At 38.0% G+C, this 25,058-nt stretch overlaps 1 protein-coding gene and 1 pseudogene across 24 annotated transcripts in view; one reads left to right on the forward strand and one right to left on the reverse strand.

Annotated features, from left to right (window-relative positions):
* EXOG (exo/endonuclease G) overlaps nt 1–25,058 on the forward strand; it is a 29,964-nt gene that overhangs the window by 2,252 nt on the left and 2,654 nt on the right. For 6 of the 24 annotated variants that reach the window (NR_153324.2, NR_153322.2, XM_047449372.1 and 3 more), the window contains 3 exons: nt 2,764–2,903; nt 5,024–5,100; nt 8,263–8,377. Coding sequence is in view for 11 of the 24 variants with exons in the window: in XM_047449372.1 (XP_047305328.1) it covers nt 2,764–2,903; nt 5,024–5,100; nt 8,263–8,377 (332 nt within the window). In the remaining 13 variants the exon portion in view is untranslated. Of the gene's footprint in view, nt 1–175; nt 2,904–5,023; nt 5,101–8,262; nt 8,378–15,158; nt 15,278–20,670; nt 20,787–24,581; nt 25,055–25,058 lie in introns of those variants that run through there. The other 18 variants (XR_940529.4, NR_134938.2, XM_047449374.1 and 15 more) reach the window with 15 other exon arrangements.
* On the reverse strand, nt 16,854–17,239 carry DDTP1 (DDT pseudogene 1; annotated as a pseudogene).

The following is a 25,058-nucleotide window of genomic DNA, read 5'->3' on the forward strand; positions in this document are numbered from 1 at the left end:
AGAACCTGATTTTGATTAGTAAGGCTTCTCTGGAAAAGTGGACTGAAGAGTGAACGGAAATTACTTAGGCAAGGGGTTGAATGTGCCATGGGATATGGAGAAGAGCATTCTAGGAAGAAAGGAACATTTGCATCTTCGGAGGCCCCCAATGTGGACAGGAGTTTTGTTCTTTTAGGGAACTAAAAGAGTGCCAGTAGATGAATGAGGGGGAAGGTGATGTGAAATGATGCTGGAGAAGTAAGCAGGTGTGTCAGTTTATTCATGTGTCCTTATGTCTTGATAGGGTCCTGTAGAATTGCCAGATCTTGATAATTAATGTCAAATTGGTTTCTAGGTAGATTCTTCAAGTTTACACTCCTAGCATCATTGTTTCTTCTCTCTCTCAACCTTCACCTATGGTGAGCATTACTGAGCTTTACCAATTTAATGCTCATTTTACTTGTGTTTATTGATTATCAATGAGGGTTAACATGCTGTGAATTAGTCTTTTTTGGTAAGTTATTCTTTACCTATTTCAGTTGGGGTATTCTCTTTTGAATTTATTTGTAAAAGTTCTTTTATTTATTAAGGATATTACCTTTTGTCACAGTTGTTTTGTTCCCTTTTGTTATTTGCTTTTTAATTTGCTGTGTGTTCCACATATTCTCCTTTGCTTTAAAATGTGTGCTATGGCTATGCATATTAAAATGCTGATATTAAAGTTAGTGTGTGCCATTCTAGAGTGCACAGCAACCAGCAGAATAACAGGAGGCTTGGAATGTACTTGGTGTTAGACAGAAACTGATGTAAGTGAAAACTTTATCAAGCATATAAGAAAACCTGGGCATTTTATATTGTATAATAAGTCTTGTGAGCTGTGTACTTTTGAGGCAATAAAATAGAGCCAATTAATATTATTTGAAAATAGGGAGCAATGTACCTGTGTTTTACTTGATTTTAATGTAAAAGGTCTTCTGTTTTCAGTAATGATGGACTGAGTTATTCAGATAGAATCTTCCTGCTGAAACAGAAAATGTTAGTATATAAAAAGTGTATATCTGTATTTTTTTTACCTTTTTTTTTGAGATGGATTTTTGCTATGTTGCCTAGGCTGGTCTTGAATTTCTGGGTTCAAGTGACCCTCCTGCCTCAGCCTCCTGAGTAGCTGGGATTACAGGTATGTGCCACTATGCCCAACTAAAAGTATATCTTTTAAAAAATGGCTTAAGAAAAATGAAGAGCCAGCAGCATAGTGGCGAATTGCTAGGTTAGTGTTGGTGGGAGAAAGCGAGAATCCAAAGAGGTAAGCGCAGTCTTGGCAAACCAAAACCACATTTGCCTTTGAATTCACAGCATTATGGGGTGAGGAGGATTGAAGGAAAGACCTAAGACTCACCCAAGGTAGATTGTCCTGTAGGTCTTGCAGTGTAGGAGACCCTTCCTGTGTTACCCTGGAACTCCAAAGGGCTACATCCTCAGGGAAGAGTGAACTAGAACTAACTTCCCTGCCCACTCTTAGGGACTACATGGAAGGTTGTCTTGGCACTGAACGGAGAAAGGTCAAAAGGAAGATAAAAAGTTTGTTCCAGAGAAGGTAAAGTCAAAAACTGGCTATCATGCAGACTTACAGCCCAAATCTGTGCATCGAGAGGAGATCAGGGAACCTTAATCCCTGAGCATGGTTTAATACGGTTCTCCACTGGGAATACTGCTAGACACCTTACAGCAGTAAATTTATATCTTTTCTCAAGGAAGGTATCTTTTTAGGTCTTTGGAAATTCCTACAAATTGCTTTTCCAGGGCAGTAAGCACCAGCCAAAGATAACTAGCTGTAGAAGGAAGTGATTCCAATGGTAATGACACTTAGAAATTTACTAATGATAAATTTTTCTGTATTATTCTTTATAAAGTGATTCTAAAAAGCTACATATATGATACTTTACTGTAAACTTTGGGATCTGATACTAAATTTTTCTTGGCTGAATGAAATCACCTTGGAATCAGTGACTTCATTGTTCTCCATTTTACACTTCTTTGAATAACAGTCTGAGTATGTTTCATTTGTTGTCATAACTTTTGTAGTTTAAGAAAGTCTCACCTCACGATAGTGCAATAGGTAGTGTTAGGATTTGCTAATGTTCTCTGTGACAAACCATTCTGGAGGTGTCAGAAAATAAATAAAATCTGAGATTTCTTCTCTCCTATGTGGTACCCAGATATTCTGTTTTAGAAATTTCTGGGTGGAGCTCATAACTTAAATGTTTATTTTGTCATGGTTCGAGAGGCAGTAAGCAAGATATCAGAGACACTCCTCTCCCCAAGGCTGTGCTTGCCTAGAACAAATTGTTTTGTGTCTATATATATCCATTATTTCAGTACACATAAACTTGTCAAATACAATCGTACAAAATACAATACATGGGAGTCTTTTTTAAAAAACAAGAGTTTATTTAGTAGCCAAGCTTTTTATATAGTTTAGTGTTTTGATTGGTGATTGTTTTTACTTAAAATACTATTCAGAGGAGTTTTTCTTTAACTGGAAAGGCCAGAGTCAAAATTATATGAGATAGCTACACTGTATGAAAAGCATTCTTTCCTAGACTAGTACTTTCTAAATTCAGATGAAGTATCTGAACTATCCCAGGAACTTGAGACATGCATGCAATCCCTAATACTAGCTGCTTGGAGAGACACCAGCCAGTAGCAACCAGCTTGCCTTGCTTAGAGAATCTTGAGGGACATTTGTCTACTGATAACATATCCATTTTGTGTGTTTTTCTTCAGGTGATGCAGACAGAAAGCATTGTAAATTTAAGCCTGATCCCAATATCCCTCCAACCTTCAGTGCCTTCAATGAAGATTATGTTGGAAGTGGGTGGTCACGAGGACACATGGCTCCAGCAGGAAATAACAAATTTTCAAGTGTAGGCATACTTTGGGGGAGGGATGGGAATATGGGGCTGATGTTATGCATACAACAGGAATTAGAGGTTTAAAAACCTAGGAGCCAAACCTTAAAACTTGAGAATTTCCATACTCTTATTTTTCTTCCTGACAATATGTCTCTTCTTTCAATCACATACCGAGACATTTTTAAACAGGTTGAATGAGGAAAACTAAGTGCTATGTGAAGGGAACTAGAAAGCCACTGGGAGCTGAAGCTACTCACTTTTATTTATTTATTTTTTTGAGACGGAGTCTCACTCACTCTGTTGCCCAGGTCGGAGCACAGTGGCTTGATCTCGGCGCACTGCAACCTCTGCCTCCCAGGTTCAAGCAATTCCTGTGCCTCAGCCTCTTGAGTGGCTGGGATTACAGGGGTGCGTCACCATGCTCAGCTAATTTTTGTTTGTTTGTTTATTTATTTTTTGAGATGGAGTCTCTCTCTGTCACCCAGGCTGGAGTACAATGGCACGATCTTGGCTCACTGTAACCTCCGCCTCCCGGGTTCAAGTGATTCTCCTGCCTCAGCCTCCCGAGTAGCTGGGATTACAGGTTCCCGCCACCACACCCAGGTGTTTTGTATTTTTAGTAGAGATGGGGTTTCACCACGTTGGCCAGGCTGGTCTCAAACTCCTGACCTCAGGTGATCCACCTGCCTCGGCCTCCCAAAGTGCTGGGATTACAGGCGTGAGCCACTGTGCTCAGCCACTCACTTATTTTTAATTAGTTAATTAGAGACAGAGTCTCGCTTTGATGCCCAGGCTGGAGTACAGTGGTGGAATCATAGCTTACTGTAGTCTTGAACTCCTAGGCTTATACGGTCCTCTTTCCTCAGCTTCCCGACTAACTAGGACTATAGTCATGTTTCATCATGCCTGGCTAATTTATTTTAAAAAATTTTTTTAATTTGTAGAAATTTATAGAAAAGGTGAAAAAATAGTACAACAAACATTGATACATTTACTTTACATATACATATGTAAATTCTGCAACCATTGACAAAGTTGCAGACATGTTTTATTTCTAAATGGATTGCTCAGGAGTATGCATCATCTAAGAATGAGGATGTTTATATATATGAGTATATATAAATACAAGTATCACACCAAGAAGTGTATACTAATACATTTTTATATATTTGTGCAGTAATATTATCTAAAATACAATGTATAGTCAGCTTTCCCACATGGTCCTAATTATGACCTTTATAGCTTTTTTGATTCAGTATTCAATCATGAATCACACATTACATTTAGTTATCATATTTCTTTAGTCTTCTTTAATCTAGAATGATTTCCCTGCCAAAAAGTGGGAGGAGTGTCTTTCATGATATTGACAATTGTTGCGTAAACTATTGGTGATTATGTCATTAAGATAGTAATTCTCAACCTTGGACACTCATTATAATCACCTGGAGAAGTTTTTGCAGTCCTGATGCCCAGACCTGAACCTCATACTTACAAAACTGGAAACTCTCAGGGATGAGACCCAGGCATCAATATCAATATTTTTAAAGCTCCCTAGATTATTCCAATGTGCACCCAAGATTGAGAGCGACTGCTTGAAGAGAAGGTACTTGTAGCATTGGCAGTTAGTATAGATCAGTGAGGAAATTACAGTGAGGTAGAGCCTTGTATATTTGGGTGAAAAATGTGAAGTGAATGAACACATAGTGGCCAGATATTCAGAAGAACAAGGACGTTTTCTCTGCCACTTTTGAACTAGTATGTTTGTACTGTACTAAAATAACTTTTGTGAAAATTGATCTCTATTGAGAAACTCTTTGCCAGAGGCTTAAAACCAGAATTTGCCCTTAAGCTTTGTGTTGGAAATATTTAGTTCTTAGAATTCACGTTATAGGTTTGGATTTTATAATTGATAAGCCTACCTGACTACTTACTTTATAGTCCTCATTTTGAATAATTATTATAAGAGCTTTCTGTCCTGGAATAATTATGGCTTTCATTTATTGAAACAAGTAGTCAATAATTGCCTAGCACTAATGTTTAAATAAGAAAGTGTTTTTCTGTGTCTTTTTAATAAAATATCTTTTAAAGGGGAAAGCATTTCAGTGCAAGTTACTATGTTTCTTTCTTTACAGAAAGCCATGGCTGAAACCTTTTACCTTTCTAACATTGTGCCTCAGGATTTTGATAATAATTCTGGATATTGGAACAGGTGAGGGATGAGAGTTTTAAAAACATGATTCTATGGAAGATAAATGAAGTGACAGGAGAATGTACTGATGTGCCTATTAGCTGTTTCTGTCTTTGTTTTTCAAAAGCTAAGCCTCTGAAGGTAAGTATGTTGGGCCAGTTTTCTTTGCTGTGTTTTGGGAGTACAGCCTTCTACAGAAGATCAGACTTCAAAACGTAGCCTGCCTTTTTGATCATGTTTGCCACTGTTCAAAAGTCAAGTTTTGAAAGAAATGACTCAAAATAATAATCTTAATAATTGAGGCAGCATCTTTTTTGAGTGTGTTCAGTGAACACTATTATTTTCTCTTGTATTCCAATATTTCTTAGCTTTTTTTAAAAAAACAGTTTTGTATTTCAAGAGCTCCTGAGCTTTAGGCCAGGGTCAGTGGTTCATGTCTATAGTCTCAGCACCTGGAGAGGCCGAGGCAGGAGAATTGCTTGAGGCCAGCAGTTTGAGACTGGCCTGGGACATAGTGAAGCCTTGTCTCTACTAAAAATTTAAAAAATTAACCAAGTGTGGTGGTCCATGCCTGTATCCCAGCTACTCAGGAGGCTGAGGTGGGAGAATCACTTGAGCCCAGGAGTTTGAGGCTATAGTGAGCGGTGATTGTGCCACTGCACTCCAGTCTGGACAACAGAGCAAGACCCTATCTCAAAAAAAAAAGTTCCTGAACTTAAAAAAAGTTGGGGTATAGTTTAATGTAACTATTAACCAGTTTTTTTGTTTGTTTTTTGTTTTTTTGAGACAAAGTCTCACACTGTCGCCCGGGCTGGTGTGCAGTGGCACAATCTCGGCTCACTACAACCTCCGCCTCCCGGGTTCAAGCGATTCTCCTGCCTCAGCCTCCCGAGTAGCTGGGATTATAGGCACACGCCACCACACCCGGCTAATTTTTGTATTTTTAGTAGACATGGGGTTTCACTATGTTGGCCAGGCTAGTCTTGAACTCCTGACCTCGTGATTTGCCCACCTTGGCCTCCCAAAGTGCTGGGATTACAGACATGAGCCACCACGCACGGCCACTATTAACCAGTTTTTGATAGAACCTAACTATAAAATAATCTGGGCCTTCTACATTTTTCTGACACTGTCAGGTGGCTTCTTTATGCATCTAAAACTAACGGTTTGAGGTTCTTTCAGGCTATTGTGTTTTTCCCCATATAGTACTTTGTGGTTTAAAATAATGAAGAGAGCACCCTGCACCAATGAGAGACTTCAGCAGTTATCAGTCATGGCGACATTTGTTTCATCTACATACCCTCACTTTGCCCCACTCAGATTATTTTTAGCAGATTGCAGATATTTTATCCATAAATGTTTCGTTACATATATTTAGAAGATAAGGATTCTTTTAAAATATAACCACAGTATTATTAATGCCCTTAAAGAATTTAACAATAATTCTTTATTACCAATTTTATAGTCAGTGTTCAAATTTTCCTGGTTGTCTTTAATTTTTTGTTGTTGTTGGTTGGTTTGAACCAGGATTCAAATAAGATAGACACAAAAATTTGGTTGATATGTCTCTTTAGTTCCTATAAATCTGTAGATTTTCCTTTCTTTTTTTTTTTCCTCCATTCAGATTATCTGTTGAAGATCTAGGATGTTTGTCCTAGAGTTTCCTTTCCATATTCTGGATTTGCTGATCGCATACCTGTGGAAGCATTTAACATTTTCTTTTCCCAAGAGATAAATTTCTGGGAGGAAAACTTTACCTTGTAATTGGACATATATATACACCCTATTAAAAATAATTTAAAAAAATTTTTAAGGCCAGTCAAGTGAAGCAGTGGGAGTAGAGAAGGAACAAAGAAGTATGTAACTGGTTGTGAACAATTAGTTGTAAACACCACTGCACTTATACCAGCCTATAAAAATAATTGGATTTTACTTTTTAGATAAGAAACTGAGGAATGAGGACATGCATTGTTATCTCTCATTTAGAAATCTCTTCCAACTGGGCCGGGTGCAGTGGCTCATGCCTGTAATGCCAGCACTTTGGGAAGCCGAGGTGGGCAGATCGCTTGAGGTCAGGAGTTGGAGACCAGTCTGGGCAACGTGGCAAAACTGTCTATTTTAGTAGACACTAAAAATAAAAAAAAAATTAGCCGAGTGTGGTGGCACACACCTAAAATCCCAGCTACTCGGGAGGCTGAGGCAGGAGAATCGCTTAAACCCAGGAGATGGAGGTTGCAGTGAGCTGAGCCTGGGTGACAGAGTGAGTGAGACTCCGTCTCAAAAGAAAAAAAAAAAAAACTTCCAACTGCAGTCATATACATACTTTCATATGTATATGAAAGTACATATTACAACTACTTGCCATTTGGGCACCTGTAATCCCAGCTACTCGGGAGGTTGAGGCAGGAGAATCACTTGAACCCGGGAGGCAGAGGTTGCAGTGAGCTGAGATTGCACCATTGCACTGCAGCCTGGGTGACAGAGTGAGACTCCATCTAAAAAAAAGAAAAAAAAAATACTTGCCATTTTTATCTGGTAAGTTGACAAAAACAGATTTTAAATGATAAATCCCAGCATTATAAAGATTGTTGTGAAACTGCTGTGTTGTATTTTAATTTTTTAGAGTAAATTGATATAACCCTATTAAAAGCTTATAGAGTAAATTGATATAACCCTATTAAAAATGTTAGTTTTACATATGATGACGAGTCTTTAAAATAAATTCATTCAGTAATTCTGGTCCTTGAAATTTATCCTAAGGAATTGATACAACGTTGCATTATATAAGAAATGTTAACATAAGCCCAATTGTCCTGCAAGAGGAATGGTTAAATAAAGTATATCATCTTGTTGGAATGATACATAATTCTTGAAAGCTGGTTGGGAACTATGGCATAAAAAAAGTTTTAAGTTCATGAAATTTGAATTCCAGAATGTACTCTGAGCGCACATAAAGAAAAATGTAGATAGTTTTGTTAGTGTATGTGATTTTTAAGTTTTTTCTGTGCAGTAAGCAAACTGGGAAAATAATTGTTTATATGCTTATAATGTTTTGTGCCATGTTCTTGTTTAATTTCTCAAATGCAGTTTTTCTTGGTATCTTTCATAGGAATTGATATGATTTGCTGCTGTCTTACATGTATATATGTGAGAATATCATACATTTTTTTATTTGTTTTTCAGAATAGAAATGTACTGTCGAGAGCTGACAGAAAGGTTTGAAGATGTTTGGGTGGTATCTGGGCCTTTGACCTTACCTCAGACTAGAGGCGATGGAAAGAAAATAGTTAGTTACCAGGTAAGGATGTTTAATAGTCAGGTTTATGTTATCTGTATGAGATTATAATCTCACTTTCCATTCTGCTTTTTATTTTTATTTTTATCATTCAAAAAAAATTTTGCATTCTACTTTTTAATTTCACTTATTCAACAATATTTATTGAACACCTATTAGGAATGATAGGCATAGGGAATATAGTGATGGATAAAAGCAACTATTGACTTCAAGGAACTCACGGTTTAGAGTGGAAAACAGATGTTAACAATTAATTACATTAAAGTGTGACATGCTGTAATAGAGGTAAACACACACAGTGTGGTCTTGTGAAAGGACTGATGGGCTCTACTCATATGAGTCAGGAACGCTTAAAAGAGGAAGTGATATTGAGCTATACCTTGACAGATAAGAGTCAGGAGTGGACCCTGAGGATTCCAGAGGATGGAGCAGGATGAGCACAGGACATTTGTGGTCAACATCAGGGTTTTGAGATTTATATATCATTCATAAAAATTGGAGCTTATGGTACAAAACAGTGTGGGTGGCTCAAGGGGTATGAAGAGTTCCATAACAACAGGTGGACGGGTGAGATAATATGCGACTTTCTATTCTATGATGAAGACTTGGGTTTTAATTTTTAGGCACTAAGAAGTCATAGATTTGTTTTAAGCGTGGGAGAAATATGATATTTGGGTTTTATAAAGAGTATTTTGGCAGCAGCGTGTAAAGAGATAGGTGGGAAAAGGGAGCATTTGAAGAAGAGATTAGAGGCAAGGAGATGAGTTAGGACATACAAGCAGTTGGAGTGAGGAATAATAGAGGAACACAGGAAAGAGTAACCATGAATAAATAACTTGTTTGAGTGAGGAAGAGGGAGAAGTTCCAGGATAACAACTAGATTGCAGACCAGGCTCAGTGGCTCATGCCTGTAATCCCAGCACTTTGGGAGGCCGAGGCAGGCGATCACGAGGTCAGGAGTTCGAGACCAGCCTGGCCAATATGGTGAAACCCCGTCTCTGCTAAAAATACAAAAATTATCTGGGTGTGGTGGCGTGTGCCTGTAGTCCCAGCTACTTGGGAGTCTGAGGCAGAAGAATCGCTTGAACCCAGGAGGCGGAGGTTGCACTGAGCCGAGATCGCACCACTGCACTCCAGCCTGGGCGACAGAGCAAGACTCCACCTCGAAAAAAATAAAAATAAAAATAAAATAAAAACAACCAGATTACAGTGTTACAGTGAGTTGAATAAATGGGAAGAAAAGCTTTTCTTCTAGAAGCTTCTTTTTTTTAATATGCAAGATATGTGAGCACTTTTATAGACTGAAAGAGAGATTAAAGATAGGAGAGTGTAATTAGTGGTGTGAGAGCTTCAGACATCTAATGTTGCTGGGAAATTCTTAGCTAGCCTTTCATATTGGCAATTTACAAAGTGGTATACCTGAAGAGCAGGTGTTCTTAGAAAAAGTTTAACATTTAATCTTATCATGCAGAAATATCCTGAGGATTCTTCCAAGAGGGTGGCTGAAATGTTATACTATACTGTGAGGCTTACAGAGGGCAGGGAACAGGTGGAGTGAAGCAGAAGAGGTGGTAGAGTGAGTAAAAAGAAGCACTGAAGGACTTGCTAATAAGGCCAAAGAGGAGGGGAGGGAACACCTAGCTCAGCTCTGGAAATAAAGTAGATATTTAATAAATGCTGGTTAGGTAAATGATTACTTAAGTCTGTGATAAAATTTAATAACCTGAGGAACAGATTGAGGAACCACCCCCCCCCCAAAAAAAAACCAAAACTTTTAGAGTATATTCTGTCCATTTGACTTGCTTATTATCAGCCTGTCTAGATCAGATGTGCAGTAATGTCCAAGCATCCAAGGATTTGTATAGGTCCATATGAATAGCCCACTTTCTCTTTTTCCACACAAAATTATGACCCAACTACTTCTTTTTGTTAAGTGGAAATGATAGAGTAGTTGTTTTCAAGGATTTGTACATCCTTGGAAAATTCCAGTAGATATGGGAGTGAAGGAAGTCAAAGGAATTAGTATTTTAAAATTAATTCATTTAATATCTCTCCTCCCATATTAATTTCTCTCCTCTGATTAACTTGCTAATTTAATTTTAGTATATTTTATAGTCTTAGGAGAAAAAAAGGCTTAAAGCCCCCTGTATTATTTTTCAAATATTAATTATTCTTGGTCTTTGTTAAATCCTGTTTATTTTATGTCAGAAAAGAGGCTCTTCTAGCTTTGACTTGTATATCTTAAATGGTTAAATTACAGTTTTATTTGTGCTTTGTTTTTATAAAATTGAAAAATTTATATCACTAGCCTACTGTGTAGTAGAACAAAAATTTGTACAATGTTTAAAACGAAAAATTAACCAATAATTACAAGCATTTCACTACATAGATTTTTGTGTGGCTATTTCTGTAAAATATGTGTTGCCCAAATGCCGTAGTGGAAAATGTATTGTTTTTCTTAAGTTGGATATAATTTTTAAAAATAGAACTGATAAAAATATATCTTCTAGTTGTTTCTGCTGAAAAGGCCCAGAAGAATTGGTATGTCATTAGCAATGAACACATCTTGAGACCCAGATATTTGTTTCTAAAAAGCATCTCCTGAAAAGACTCAGCGCTTAGAGAAATGACTGATTTAAGGGGTGGTACAGGGAGAGTACAAAATGGAACATCATATATCAGAAAGCCAAGGAAGTGCTCAGACAAATGGTGGGGATATGTCAGAAGGACATGTGAATCAGCTTGAAGGAGCTCCCACTTACTGTATCTGGTGCTATTGAATATCAAAATAAAATGGATTATAAACCTATTGAATTAAATAAGAATACATACTCAATAAATATGTAAATACATAGGGTGTAAAGAAAAGCTTCTGCATACCATAGAATGTCAGTTAATAAATTTGCGAGAATGAAAGAGTTATACAAATCATTTTGCACACATCACCATAATTGATTCAGGCAAGAGTCATCACTAGCTAAAACTAGTGAGTGAATGTTTTATGAGGAATAGGGTATTTACATAATCTAAAAGTATCTCCTCATACATTATTTATTAATCACAAAGTAAGAAATAACTTTACAGTGAAGAAACATCCCATTACCCAAGTGATCAAGTTTAGTATTGCTAGTAATGGGACTTAGTGAAACGCTGTACTCCTGGTGTGATGCACTGAGCAGGATAAAATATCAGGCATACCCCAATTGAGAGACATTCTGTGAAACAGCTGACTTCTACTTTACAAAAGTGTTAGTGTCATAAAAGACAAAGGCTGAGAAACTATCTGTTCCAGATTAATAGATTAAAGAGTCATGCAAACAAAATGTGTAGTATGATCTTAGATTAGATCCTAGACCAGAAAAAAGTTGCTAAAAAGGATGTTATTGGGAGAATTGGCAACATTCGAGGTCTGTTATCTAATATACAAATTAGATAATTGTGTATTTTCAGTATTAAATTTCCTGATTTTTAAAATTGTTCTGTGATATGTAAGTAAATATCTTTGCTCTTAGGAAGTCATATCCTGAAGTGTTTAGGAGTAAAATGGTGTGCCTGTGACTTTTAAAAAGTTTAGGGAAAAGAGAAGAGAGTGATAAAGCAAATAGAACAAAATGTTAACAATTGGTAAATCTGAGTGAAGGATATAAAGGAAGGAGTTCTTTGTGCTGTTCTTACAAATGCTAAGCTTTTAATTAATTCAGAATTTTAAAATTATATATTAAATATTATATAGATATTTAAATAAAATATTAAAAGATATATTAAAATAGTTTATCAGTGAAATGATACTCAAACATGTTCAAGCTAGCCTTAAAGAGTTTCAAAAGAGACCTATCAGCTCTCCTCACCCTAGTTAGTGTCATAATGATCAGTCATGTGAGGTCAGTCAAGATCAGCTTCCTGAAGAGTATACTTTGAGTAATAGTCTTGTTTCTTGTTTTTATTTTAAAGACTTGCTGGTCTTAGGTATTCTCTTTCAGATTCTGGGCTTCTAAGGTCATATCATTAGTTTTCCATGTCTCTTATTAATTTATAGGACCTATGCATGTTCACACTGGCAAATCTTTAATTCAGTAAGTCATCCGTTCAGCAAATTTTCAAGTACCTGTCATGTGGGAGGAAGGTATACAGAATTGTAAATGGCATGCTCCAAACTTATATTCTTGATTACTTTCTTCCTCTCCTGTATTTCACATCCTGGCAGTCATCTCTCACTCTTAATTACTTTGAACCAACAACTTTTATTAATTCTCTTTTTTTAAAATAACTTTTACTTAGACATACCGAAGCTCTGAACACCTGCAGTATTGCAGAGGCCTCTAATGGGTTTCTCTGCCTCCAATTGCGTTGGCTACCAGTCTATCTGGAGTACAGAAACCATGACAGAGAAAGTATACGTTGTTACTTTCCTAATCCTCGGAACCATAAAAAAAGGAATAACATTAAAAGAACAGAAAAGGAAACTTCATTTATACTGAAATTAGGGAATGTTCACAGTCCTGTATCAAGGAATTTTTCAAATAATATCTGCAAGATAAAGTGAAATTTGGACCAAATTATAAAGGATGTTAATTTGACATGTCTCCTCTTATCAAAGCATGGGACAGGGTACTAGAATTAGTAAGGAAGTTCAGACCTACCGGTAGTAGACCACAGGAGAAATTTCTGGTGTTTAACTTGGAGCTTATCCCTTTATCTTGCAATAGTAGGAAAGGCAGGGTGGTTATAGTTGTTAAAAGCACATATTTCATGTCAGATCTGGCCTTGGATCTTTGCTTTGATACTTACTTGCATGTGGTCCTGGGAAAATGACCTAACTTCTTTAAAGTTCAGTTTTATCTGTGATATTTGGATAGTAGTAGTGTTTACCTCACCGAGTTGCTAGTATCATCGTTAGCTTGGTAGTTAGCACATAGGAAATGTTCAGTAAATATTAGCTACTATTACTCCTTTGGAGGCTAACATAAGAATGAAGACCAGTGTTTTTTGTATTCTTTGGTGCATGTACTCATAAACCTATGATTTCTAAGATTCTTTTTTACTTCTCCTTTCTTATCTACAGAAGCCCAAAAGTCAGGTGCCTCTTTATTAATTTTAAAGCACAATTTTTGTAGTCTTCTAAGTCGATGCTTTTGAGTTCATGAGTTCATGTTATGTTAGGAGTTGTGAAATTAGATACTTACATTAAACACGGTTTAGTCTTGATGCTTTTTTTTCGCTCATGGCATTAAAGTCATAACTGGCAAACTATCTTTCCTTGAAATTAAACTTGAAAAATTTTTAAATTATGCAATTATATGTGCATAATGATAAAAATGCTAAATCTTAAAACATGATTGTGGAAATATATGACATTGTAATGAAATTCAAACAGTACAAAGCAGCATGAAAAGGTAAAGTCTCACTTATACTCCTTATCCCACTGTCCAGTTTTTATTTGTTTTGGCACTTATTTCTATATCTCAGAATAATGAGCACTAAAATATATTTTTAACTTGTGACCTGTCGCTTATTAACAGTTACTTTATCTCTATAAAATTATGAAATTTATTGTTTATTTCTTGCACTGCACTATACTCTGCTAGTCATATATACTTAATTTTAGTTCTTCCGTTGGTAAACTTTGCATCATATACTTTACATAATATACTTGAACCTCTAATCTTGATCTACCATTTATACTTGTCAAGGTTTGTAGCATTTACATTTATGTTTGCTAACGATAATGTAGTCTGAGTTTTGCCTGTAGCAGAGTTTGTAAACTGAGGCCTCTTATGGCAAGTCCAGCCCATAGAGGTATTTTATTTGGCTCACATGGTATATATATATATATTTTTAAGTTTTTCATAGAGATAGGGTCTTGCTCTGTCTGCTAGGCTGGAGTGCAGTGACAAGATCGTAGCTCACTGTAACCTTTATCTTCTGGGCTTTCGAGATCTTCCCACTTCAGCCTACCAAGTAGCTACGACTACAGGCATGCACCACCATGCCCAGCTAATTTTTAAGTTTCTTTTTTGTAGAGGTGGGGGTCTCACTATGTTGCCCCAGCTGGCCTTAAATTCCTGGCCTCAAGTAGTCCTCCCACCTCCACCCCTCAAAGGGCTGGAATTAAAGGCGTGAGCCACCACACCTGACTGTATGTTATTTTTTAATTAGTTTATAATGTTTAATAATTGGGAGATTTCACATAAATCCAGATTTTAGCTTCTCTTAAATCAGATGACTCCGTAACAATTGGCATATACTCCCATAGGCAGCCAGTTTACTAGACAAGAGTATCAACCTTCTCCTTAGATTGAACACACATCTTCAAATCACTGTAGTCTTTACCTGCCCCATTTTACTCACTTACATTTCCTGTCTAGCCCTTGTTGGTCTTTGAGTTTGTAATCCAAGATCTATTAGAAAATATTTAACCAGCATTTATATTATTATAAGTGTGTATGTAGTATGTTTGGACCTATAAGGAAATAGATATAATTCTATATCATTAAATCTGTGCCACTTGAGAGAGAAATATTACCACAAACAACGGAAAAACAGAAGTGGAAGGTAAGGGTGGCAGTGTATTATAATTGCTCTTTTTAAAAATACTTTCTAATTCAGATAATTTAGGTCATTTAAGCATATTATCATATGATTTTTTAAAAAGGTAAATTAGTTTTTTCGTGAAAATATATTCTTGGAGCCCTCTGACTTTCTGTTTTAATTTGGATTACTTGTTTCCTCCCTCCTTCCCTTTCTCCTTCATTCCCTTTCTTCTTTCCTTCCTTTTATTCAACAGAGACTTAACTAAGCTTTTACTAGGTACCTGGTGCTGTTCTGGGTGCTTCTGATACAGCATTAAACAAGGCAGAAAAGAGTACCCTCATGGAGCATGCATTATAGTGGAGGAGATACCTAGTAAGTAAAATGCCTCGTAGAAATATAAAGCACGGTAGAGGATTGTATTAGGGTGGGAAAGAAAGACAAGGGGAAGTGAGATAGGGCAGAAGCCTAAGTGAAGTGAGGGAGCAAGCCATATGAACAGTTTTTCGGCTAGAGCGAGTGCAAGACACGGGTGAAACTGAGGTTGGCACATTCAAGGAGCAGTGCTCTGCTCAGTGTGACTAGAGCAGCGTAAGCATGAGGAGGAGAAGAAGGTAAATTATAGAGGGAGGCAATGGCAGGAAATGTGGATTGTATTAAGTGAGATGGGACACTTAAACAGTGTTTTGATCAGGTTAGTAGCATAATCTGGTTTACATTTTTAAAGCACACACTGGCTTCTTGTGAAGAACAGAAGAAAGTGTGGAACCTGGAAGGCCAGTTAAGAGACTAATGGAATTGTCTACATGAGAAATAATAACTTGAATAGGATGGTGGTGGTAGAAATGGTGAGAAGTGGTATGATTTAAGATGTGCTTGGAAGTGGTCAGCACACTGATGATGTTGAAAGCTATGATGAGATTATATAAGTGAATATAGACAGGAGAGAACAATCAATTGAATTCTGAACCCTGGAGCACTTGGACATTAGCGGTCAGGAAGAAGAAGATCCAGCGAAAGAGTCAGAGGAGCAGCCTTTAAGGTAGGAGAAATCTAGGGGAGAGTGATGTTCCAGAAGCTAAGTGAAGAAATCATTTAAAGGAGGGAATGATGAGTTGAGAACTGACTGTTTGCAATCCCAGTAAGCTTTTTTAGTTTTAAGTCATCTATATATCTGTCCTTCTGTTTCTCCTTATTATACTCCTAGCTTGGGTCCTTAAATTCCTCTTTCCCCTTAAATATTATCTTAAATCCCTCTTTTCCACCCTCCCCCCCCTCCCCCTGCTTTTTTTTTTGAGACGGAGTTTTACGGTGTCCCCCAGGCTGGAGTGCAGTGGTGCGATCTTGGCTCACCGCAGCCTCCACCTCCCAGGTTCAAGCAATTCTTCTGCCTCAGCCTCCTGAATAGCTGGTATTACAGGCACCTGCCACCACATTTGGCTAATTTTTTATATTTTTAGTAGAGACAGGGTTTCACCATGTTGGCCAGGCTGGTCTTGAACTCCTGACTGCAAGTGATCCGCCTGCCTTAGCCTCCCAAAGTGCTGGGATTACAGGCATGAGTCACTGCACCTGGCTACCCTTTTTTATAGATAACTTTTTTTTGCTTTGGTAGAGTATATCCTCAAATTTTTTCTGGAAGAGTCAATGGATGATAACCTTTCCGAGTCCTTGCATGTCTGAAAATGTCCTAAAACTCTGAAGATGCGCTCAGGAATCTTTATGTATGACAAGTTCTCTAGAGTAGTTTTATGTATACCACCATTTTATTTTATTTTAATGAGGATGATCCCTTTATTTGACTTGAGGATGGAGAAGAAGAGGATTATGAGGTCACGGGAATGTCTCATGAGGAATTACCCAAAGCTGGTAACACCAGGTGCTCTGCCAGGAGGACTCTCTGGAAGGGGCAGCCAGCTCACAGATGCCCTGGATCCCTCGAGGCCAGTCACTAAAAAGTTATGACCATCCCCTTCTTGCCAGTCTGCCAGGGCTCCAGGGGGGAAAAGTGGAAAATTATCTGGTCCTGGCCCAGGGCCAGCTCCTCGGTGAGGAACTCGAAGAAGTGGGTGCTGTGGCTGCGGTTCTCCTCAGTGGTGTCCATCATGCTGGTGGAGGAGATGAACAGCTGCGCCCAGGGCTCAGTGGACCTACTCAGCACCATGGTCAGGCCCGCTACACCCATCATGTTCACATGCTGCCCTTGTTCTGTGCTCCCTGGCCCATGCTCCCATCCTTGGGTTTGCCCAGGATGGAGGCTGTGGCGCAGAGCCATTTCTCCAACCCTGCAGGCACTTGGTTGGCAGGCAAGTTCGTGTCTAGCTCTAGGAAGGGCATGGGCTGTAGAAAAAGAGACCCATTCTTTTAGAGAGTATTTTTCTAGCCTCATATGAAGGCAAAACAAAGGCCTGCTACTTTTGTGAGTTGTAGGATAATTCTGCAGATGAATTTTTTTCAGTCACACACTTTGATTTTGATACCCTTTATTTGCTAGAGTACTACTTAAGGGGTGGTAAAAATATTAATATCAGCTTTGGCTTTTTCCTGTATATTTTATCTTAACAATGTCATCACATCCATCTTTCATCTTCCAGAAGTTCACGGTAGTTCTTAGTCCAGTAATGCAGTACTCTGTCATTTTTCAGCACTTTTATACCTTTTTACTGCCATTCCATATATTTATGTGGAATATATATATGGATATCCATATATATATATATGTATTTTCCTTTTAATTTGCAGAGGAGAGGACCAAAAACCCGTGTTCAATTTGCCTTTTTTAACTGGAAACCCTACTTTAATCTATATTTATTAGTGTTTTGCAAAGCAGGTTAATTTGTTTTTGTCTTTGCTTTTAGCAGGTTAATATTTCTTAATGTTTTATTTGGAAATAATTTCAAATTTATAGAAAGGTTATAAGAACAATAAAAAGAACTTCCCTGTATCTTTCACCTAGATTTACTGGTTGTTAACATTTTGCCACATTTATGCTCCCCCATATAGATAGGCATACACCTGTTTTTGTTTTCTGAACCATTTGAGTTAGTTGCAGATATCTTGTTCCTTTCCTCCTAAGCATTCTGTCATGTAACCACAGAATAATTATCAAATTCGTGAAAAAACATATAGAAATACTACCTAATATTTAGTCCATATTGAAATTTTACAAATTACCCAATACTATCCTTTATACTGTTTTTTTTTTCTGATTCAGTATCCAACCAGGATTGAGCATTGCATTTAGTTGTCATGTCTCTGTAGTCTCCTTTAATCTGAACTAGCTTCTGACTCAGCCTTTTGTCTTGAATGACTTTGATATTTTTGAATAGTACGGGCCAGTTGTTTTACAGTATGTCCCTCCTTTGGGTTTGTCTGTTGTTTGCTCATGATTCATTATGTTTTTGGCAGAATGTAGGAGCAGTGATCTTGTGTCCTTCTCAGTGCATTGCATCAGGAGGTGCATAATATCAGTTTGTCTGATTATTGATGATTTTAACTTTACTTGGTTAAGGTGGTGTCTACCAGGTTTTTTCACCATTTCCCCCTTTGGAATTTATAAGTAATCTGTGGAAATACTTTGAGGCGATGTAAGCATCTTTTTCGTCTTCGAACTTTCACTCAATAGTTTTAGCATCCATTGATATTTCCTGCCTGAATTAGTTATTACTATGTTAGTTGCTAAATGATGACTTTCTAATTCTTACTCCTTAATTTATTAGTTGACATTCCACTGTTAGAGCTTTTCCTTGTTATCAATGTAGACTCACAGATTTATTTTTATTCAAAGAGTTTTAATGTTTACTGTGATTGTTCATTTTGATGCTCAAATTGCCCCAGATTTAGCCAGTGGGAGCTCCTTCCAGTGTCTCCTGTGTCCTTTTGATGCATCCTCATCATTTTTTAGCATTTCCTACTTTCTGGTATAAGGCTATGTTCCATGTTCATCTTGGCCATCGGCCATTTCTCCAAGGAGCACTGGATCCTTTTAGTGGGGATTGATGTTTAGAAACCAAGATCTGGACAGCAATTCAGATTGATTCTTGAGTGCTTGCTCTGCTGTTTGGTTTGTCAGGTGTGTTCACCACATTTATTTTTAGCCTTTTGTAGTGGATGGAGAGAGCCCCAAAGCTCGTAGTATATGGATTCCATTGCCTTTAGTGGCTCACTGTTGAGAAGGCCTTTCTCCTCTGCTTTCTGTGTTCTTGTATTTCAAAACAGGGATTGACAGACACTGGTCATTAGGAAAGCAGTTCACTGTGTTTGTACATTGTGTATGTATATGTAAAGTTGAATATTGACTTCACGAATCCATATTTCTGGAGGAGCATATGGTTTTTCAGTTTTCTCAGAAGCATATCAAACTGACATCTACTTTTATATATTTATGTTTTTCACTAACAAATATCTCCATAATAATACTGCTTTTATTAGTTTTGGCATTATATTTCAAGTCAAACTTTATTTCAGGTAGAATTTTAAACCTAAAAATCTTTGGTGTATCTGTTAGATGAAAGCAAAATATAGTTTGTTAGTAAAATAAATTTGAAAAATTATCTTGAAATTCTTGCCAAGAATTTAATTGGGCCCAAATTTTTATATATATGCACACACACATGTATCTATAAACTTGGGAGAATTTGGTTAAGAAATAGAGATGTGGGAGGTCTACCTAGGCAAGGTGAAGAGATGAGAAGCGATAGGATATATGCTGAGAAAACAGTTAAGTTAGAGCGTTCATGTAGGGAAGGAGACAAAAATAAAAGGAAAGTTTGGGGCCTGGTGGCAGAAACTTCAAATGACCAGCTAAAAAGTTTAGGCAAGAACTTCAAGATAATTTTCTAGCAAGCAGGGCCTTTGAAAAGTAGGCAATTAATTATAAAACAAATATAGATAAAATGATGTCCTTTAATTATTCTGGGAAAGGGGACACAGCATTGCCCAGTGCTGGAGACTGGTCTGTTTCTCTCAAGCAACGAATAATTTGAATCATGAATTCCCACTTTCAAGGCAATGTCTTGCAATTACGTACGGCAATTCAGAGTGCTTGGAAAGTGTTTTGTTTTCTCAGATCTAGCCATTTAATATTTACTGCTTGCTTACAACTATACTCTGAACCTTATTTTAGGAAGTTGTACCCAATAAAAGGGTTTATTTAGTTTTCTGTCCAGGCAATGAAGCATATATGTGTTTTTACTTTGGGGGAAGTAAAGCAAATGAACTGGCATTTCTTGAGGGCCAGGTATACCAGGCAGTATGTAAGTAGCTTTATATATGCATCTCATTCAATCTTCACTACACCCTTACAAAAAAAGTAGTGACCATTTTCTTTTATAGACAAGAAAATCAAGGCTTTAAGGATCAAGTCTCAGGCATATAGCTTATAATTGTCAAAGAGGGTATCCAAACATGGGTCTGTCTGACAATTGCCAGTCATTCACAGTGTTACTCTTTGAAGCGCTCAAGTTTATAGTAAATGAATTGCTGTGCTGTTCATATACAAAAGCTTAAGGTTAGCAGATAATAAAAGATGGTGTGGATGGAGAGAGGAGTTACAAGTGATACTTGCTAGCATGCAAAAATAACAGAAAATGGGCCAAGAGGAGGATTCCTTATAGCCAGGCAGAAATGTCTGTTAGAATATGTAGGAAAGGATCACATCATCATAGAACTTGAGTGAATATGAGCCTAAGGGAAGATTCGTAGCAGTGATTTTATCAGAAGTGAGTCATCTGACAGTTCTAATCAGAATCACCCCCTTTATTATATAGCTGAGGTCATCCCTGTGCTTTCTCTGATGTTCCTGTTTCAAGAAGAGGTTGATTCCAGACAAGTGAAACATACCTGAAGATTCTGGTTTGGACATTATAAATGGTCTGACAAGAAAGTGAGCTTCAGATTTTAGAACTCAGTGATGGTGGTAATGTTAGAAATATTTAACAATCTGTGTTCTTTTATAACAGCACTTTGCAAACTTCCATTATACTAACCCTAAAGGGGAGGAAATTGAAAATGCCCTCAGGAGTCTTGAGACATCATTTGAAGTGATATGGGAGTAATATTTTTTTTTAAGTCTCTTGCTTTATATTTAGGGAAAGCTTTTGTTCATTTCCATATCTATTTGTTTTAATGAAAGTTAAATTATTTTACTGGTTGTCTCCCTACCCTCACCCTAAATTTTCAAGTACCATTGACAGCCTAGAAAGAGGGTGCTTGTTTTACTGTGACTTAGTAGGCTGCTACCCTTTGGCCTGGAACAGGTACCCCAGTGTGAGAAGTACCGTCTTCCAGGGTTTGTGCTGCCACAAAAGCATCTGCTGAGGCTCTATAGATAACACAGGGGGCGACCACATTCTTGTTGACTTTACCACACTTTGTGACTCCCTCACTTTTCATGTTCCTTCCCCCCCTCAGGTTCGGATTTCCTGTTTATCAAACTCCCATGGTTTCTTTCTTTCACTTGATCGGCATGACTTTTTAAGGGCGTGGTCTCTTGATCTGTCCCTCTAGTTTTATTTTTGGAGTTTCTTTTTTTGTCTTACCAGGGGAATGTAACCAAATATATCTATCTAATTCTAGCAGGTACATATTTTTTCCTCTTGATGCTGCTTAATATTTTATTGGAGGCACATTTACAGTATGTATGACCTTACAAATGGCAGGCTTAATATGGGTATTGTTTGTTTTGGGTCTCTTCTGGGTCTGGGTGGCACAGGTGGTGGTGGCAAATTGTCATTTCTGTCTCTTGGATGGAAGGAAACAAGCTCAGGCCAGTATATAAGAAAACTAGCTTCAGGTTGCGAATGAGTGCCAGCTTATGTATTGTATTTTCTAGTTAACTCCCAGTTGACTTCCAATTTTTGCTACAGTCTTGAGTAGAGTTCAGTGCTTCTTGGGAATTTAATAGCAGCAAGGGTTTCCTTTGCAAAATATTTTTATACCTAAATCTTACATGAAAAGGGTTGTTTGCTGACTCACTGATTAACTAGACTTGGTTTATGTTAAGCCTTTGAGTCCTTTGTTACAGACATCATTTGTGCCCAAGTTGCTTTCTCCTCCTGAAACCCCATTGCTGACCTGTAACTAGTCTAATCTTGCTTGATTATACGTTTCCCCCGCCCCCATCCCTCTGTAAAACCATCTTTTGTACCAAATGCCGTTGTATCTTTTGAATGATGTCCACTACAAAATAGCTTTTTACATAGATCTTGTAGATTTTGAAAAATTTTTAACTAACATGTCATTGTATCTTCATAACAATTCTATGAGAGAGGCATTTATAAAATACAAAATAGCAATCCACCCACGGGGATGGCTGTTACGTATTTTGTAAATGAAGAAACAAGAAATGGGTGGACGCGACTTGCAGCTTAGTGGCAAAGCCAGGTTTGACCAGGTCTCTGGGCTTCCAGTCCACCAAACCTCTAGTAGTGTTTAGAAACATTTCTGGAAGTCTCCCAATTTTTCCAAAAGTAGGAAAAATTTATTATGTAGATTGAGTTGTCTTTAAAGAGACAGCTCTAAAATATTTTACGATTGATGTTGTTTTAAAAAATTGTCTTAAATTCAAGGAAGAAACGGTGTGTTTTTCTGAATACCCAACTAGGACCTGTCCCTATATTAGACAGATTAAAGATGTTTGCTTCCTAAGAACAAAGCAGACTGAATCAGAAAAGAGATTAGTGAGTGGCTAAGTTTTTATTTTTCTCCTTAGTTCTAGGGATAGTATTTTACCCCCTTGAAATAGTGTGAGAAGGTCATGGGTAGAAGGATCACACCTGTGATTCCTAATAGGAATTTCTGTTTCCATGAGGTTTCTCAAAAGTAGAATCGAGGTCCTTTAGCAATTGTAAGAGTTTTTAAACACCTATAGAAATGGTACATTTGCATAAAGTAAAGCTGTAGAACTGAAAATGTCCAACGTCTTTACTTTTGGCTGGAATTTTACGAGCCTGATTAGCTCTGCATGGCAGCAATGGGCATGTTAATTATATTTGAAAATTGCCGTTTGTTTGTAGACAAGGAGTCCATGAGGAGAGAAAATCAAGTGAATGTTCTTGAACTGTACTGCAGTGATGGGGAATGTCCACAAGGTGGCGCAAAGACTTTGTTTAACTGCTGGATTCCTAGCTAGCACCTGGAATACTTGAAGCCCCTTTCACCTTCTCCCTCTTTGCAAACTATGGCTCAGCTGCATCTGTGCCCTCAGTTCTGGTCCCCAGCTTCCCCTGAATCCCCTTCGTGCTGTTATTTGGGCTTTGTATTGGTACCTAACCACATTCTACCTGTAGTGAAAGCTGAAGGTCTTGGTTCCCACTCTAGGTGGTAAGTTTCTTGAGTGGAGGCACCAGCTGCATATACTTTAAAGCATATTCTTTTCTGTATTTCCAGCAATGCCAGGCACAGGACCTCTGAGTTGCATTGTTGAATTAACATCTTTTGGTTATTTGTGAGTTAATTGTGGACTTCCATAGGGTTCTCCCTCAGTATATTTTTGGCTTTGAAGAGTATGTTTATCTTCCCAGCTGCATAAATGAATTTTTGGGGTGAAATGGGGATTTTATGTTTGTAGTACATAGTTTCATAGACTTTACACCACACCCCGACCAACCACTTTCAGTAACTTCGAAGACAGTTGGTTATGGAAATCATTCCCGTGCACGGGTCTTCCCTGAAGCTCTGCAATTGGTCTTGGCAGTGGGACCTTCATGTGTGACAGACAGCAGATGGCCATGGAGTTCCCAGGCTGTGTGCCATGTAGGTAGGAGCTTGAAAAAAGCAGAAAAGAAACCTCCTTTGTAGCTGTCGTGTCTCTGTCTTATTTGGGCTCACAAGAAGGAATCTTGCTGCAGGCAGAGCTGTCTGATCAGGAAAGAAAACTGACTCTTACCAGGGAAGGGCCCGGGAGGGGCAGTAATACCAATGAGCATGTTTTAGTTGGATTATGTCAGTTATTGGGGACCATTAAGTAAATAGATGTTGAGTATTTTCTTTTTCAAAAAAGCCTTTTTGTTTTGTTTTGTTTTGTTTTGAGATGGAGTTTCGCTCTTGTTGCCCAGGCTGGAGTGTAGTGTCACAATCTCGGCTAACTGCAACCTCCACCTCCCGGGTTCAAGTGATTCTTTTGCCTCAGCCTCCCGAGTAGCAGGGATTACAGGCATGCGCCACCACGCCCAGCTAATTTTGTATTTTTAGTAGAGATGGGGTTTCTCCATGTTGGTCAGGCTGGTCTCAAACTCCCAACCTCAGGAGATCTGCCTGCCTTGGCCTCCCAAAGTGCTGGGATTACAGGCATGAGCCACCACACCTGGCCCAGATGCCAATTGGAAGGAAATTTGAAAAGGTTTAGTAATAATGTTATTTCATTAATTTCAGCCAAACCACACAACTAATTTATGTTTTCTAGGCCTGACCCTGGCTCTGGCTTCTTCATTGTGTGGATACCTTTCCAAAATGTTTGATATGACAACATATTTAGAAGTTCTTTGATCACAAGCCCAAGGATGTGCAAAACTCAGAGCAAACAGCATTTACATTTATGTAATTTAATTTTAAAAATTAGCCCTAATTGAAGTGATCCTGGAGATGGTAATGTTGACTTGACACCTGGCTGCTTCTCTAAGGGCTATCTGTTTAGTTCCCTAGTGAATTTCATAAACTAAGGCCATGTTTTTATTTCTAGAGCTGGGAGTACCCAAGCCTGCAGTTTTGACCTTTGAATGTTTGGAGCACCAGAAGTTCTGATTATGAGATGAAGAGAAAATGACAGCTTTTCTTGTCTATTAAAAAACCAGGACTCACTCATGGCATTCCTTTGTCCTTTGTCCTACAAACAGAACAGAGACTGTGACCCCTGATCTTTGGGTTGGCATTATTTTATTTTTATTTTTTGAGGTGGAGTCTTGCTCTGTCGGCCAGGCTGGAGTGCAGTGGTGCAATCTCGGCTCACTGCACCCTCTGCCTCCTGGGTTCAAGCAATTCTTCTGCTTCAGCCTCCCAAGTAGCTGGGATTACAGGCGCCTGCCACCACACCCAGCTAATTTTTGTATTTTTTTTTAGTAGAGATGGGGTTTCACCATGTTGGCCAGGCTGGTCTTGAACTCCTGACCTCAAGTGATCTGCCCGCCTTGGCGTCCCAAAGTGCTGGGATTACAGGTAT

Source organism: Homo sapiens, chromosome 3, assembly GCF_000001405.40.
Source record: "Homo sapiens chromosome 3, GRCh38.p14 Primary Assembly".
Lineage (NCBI taxonomy): Eukaryota > Metazoa > Chordata > Mammalia > Primates > Hominidae > Homo > Homo sapiens.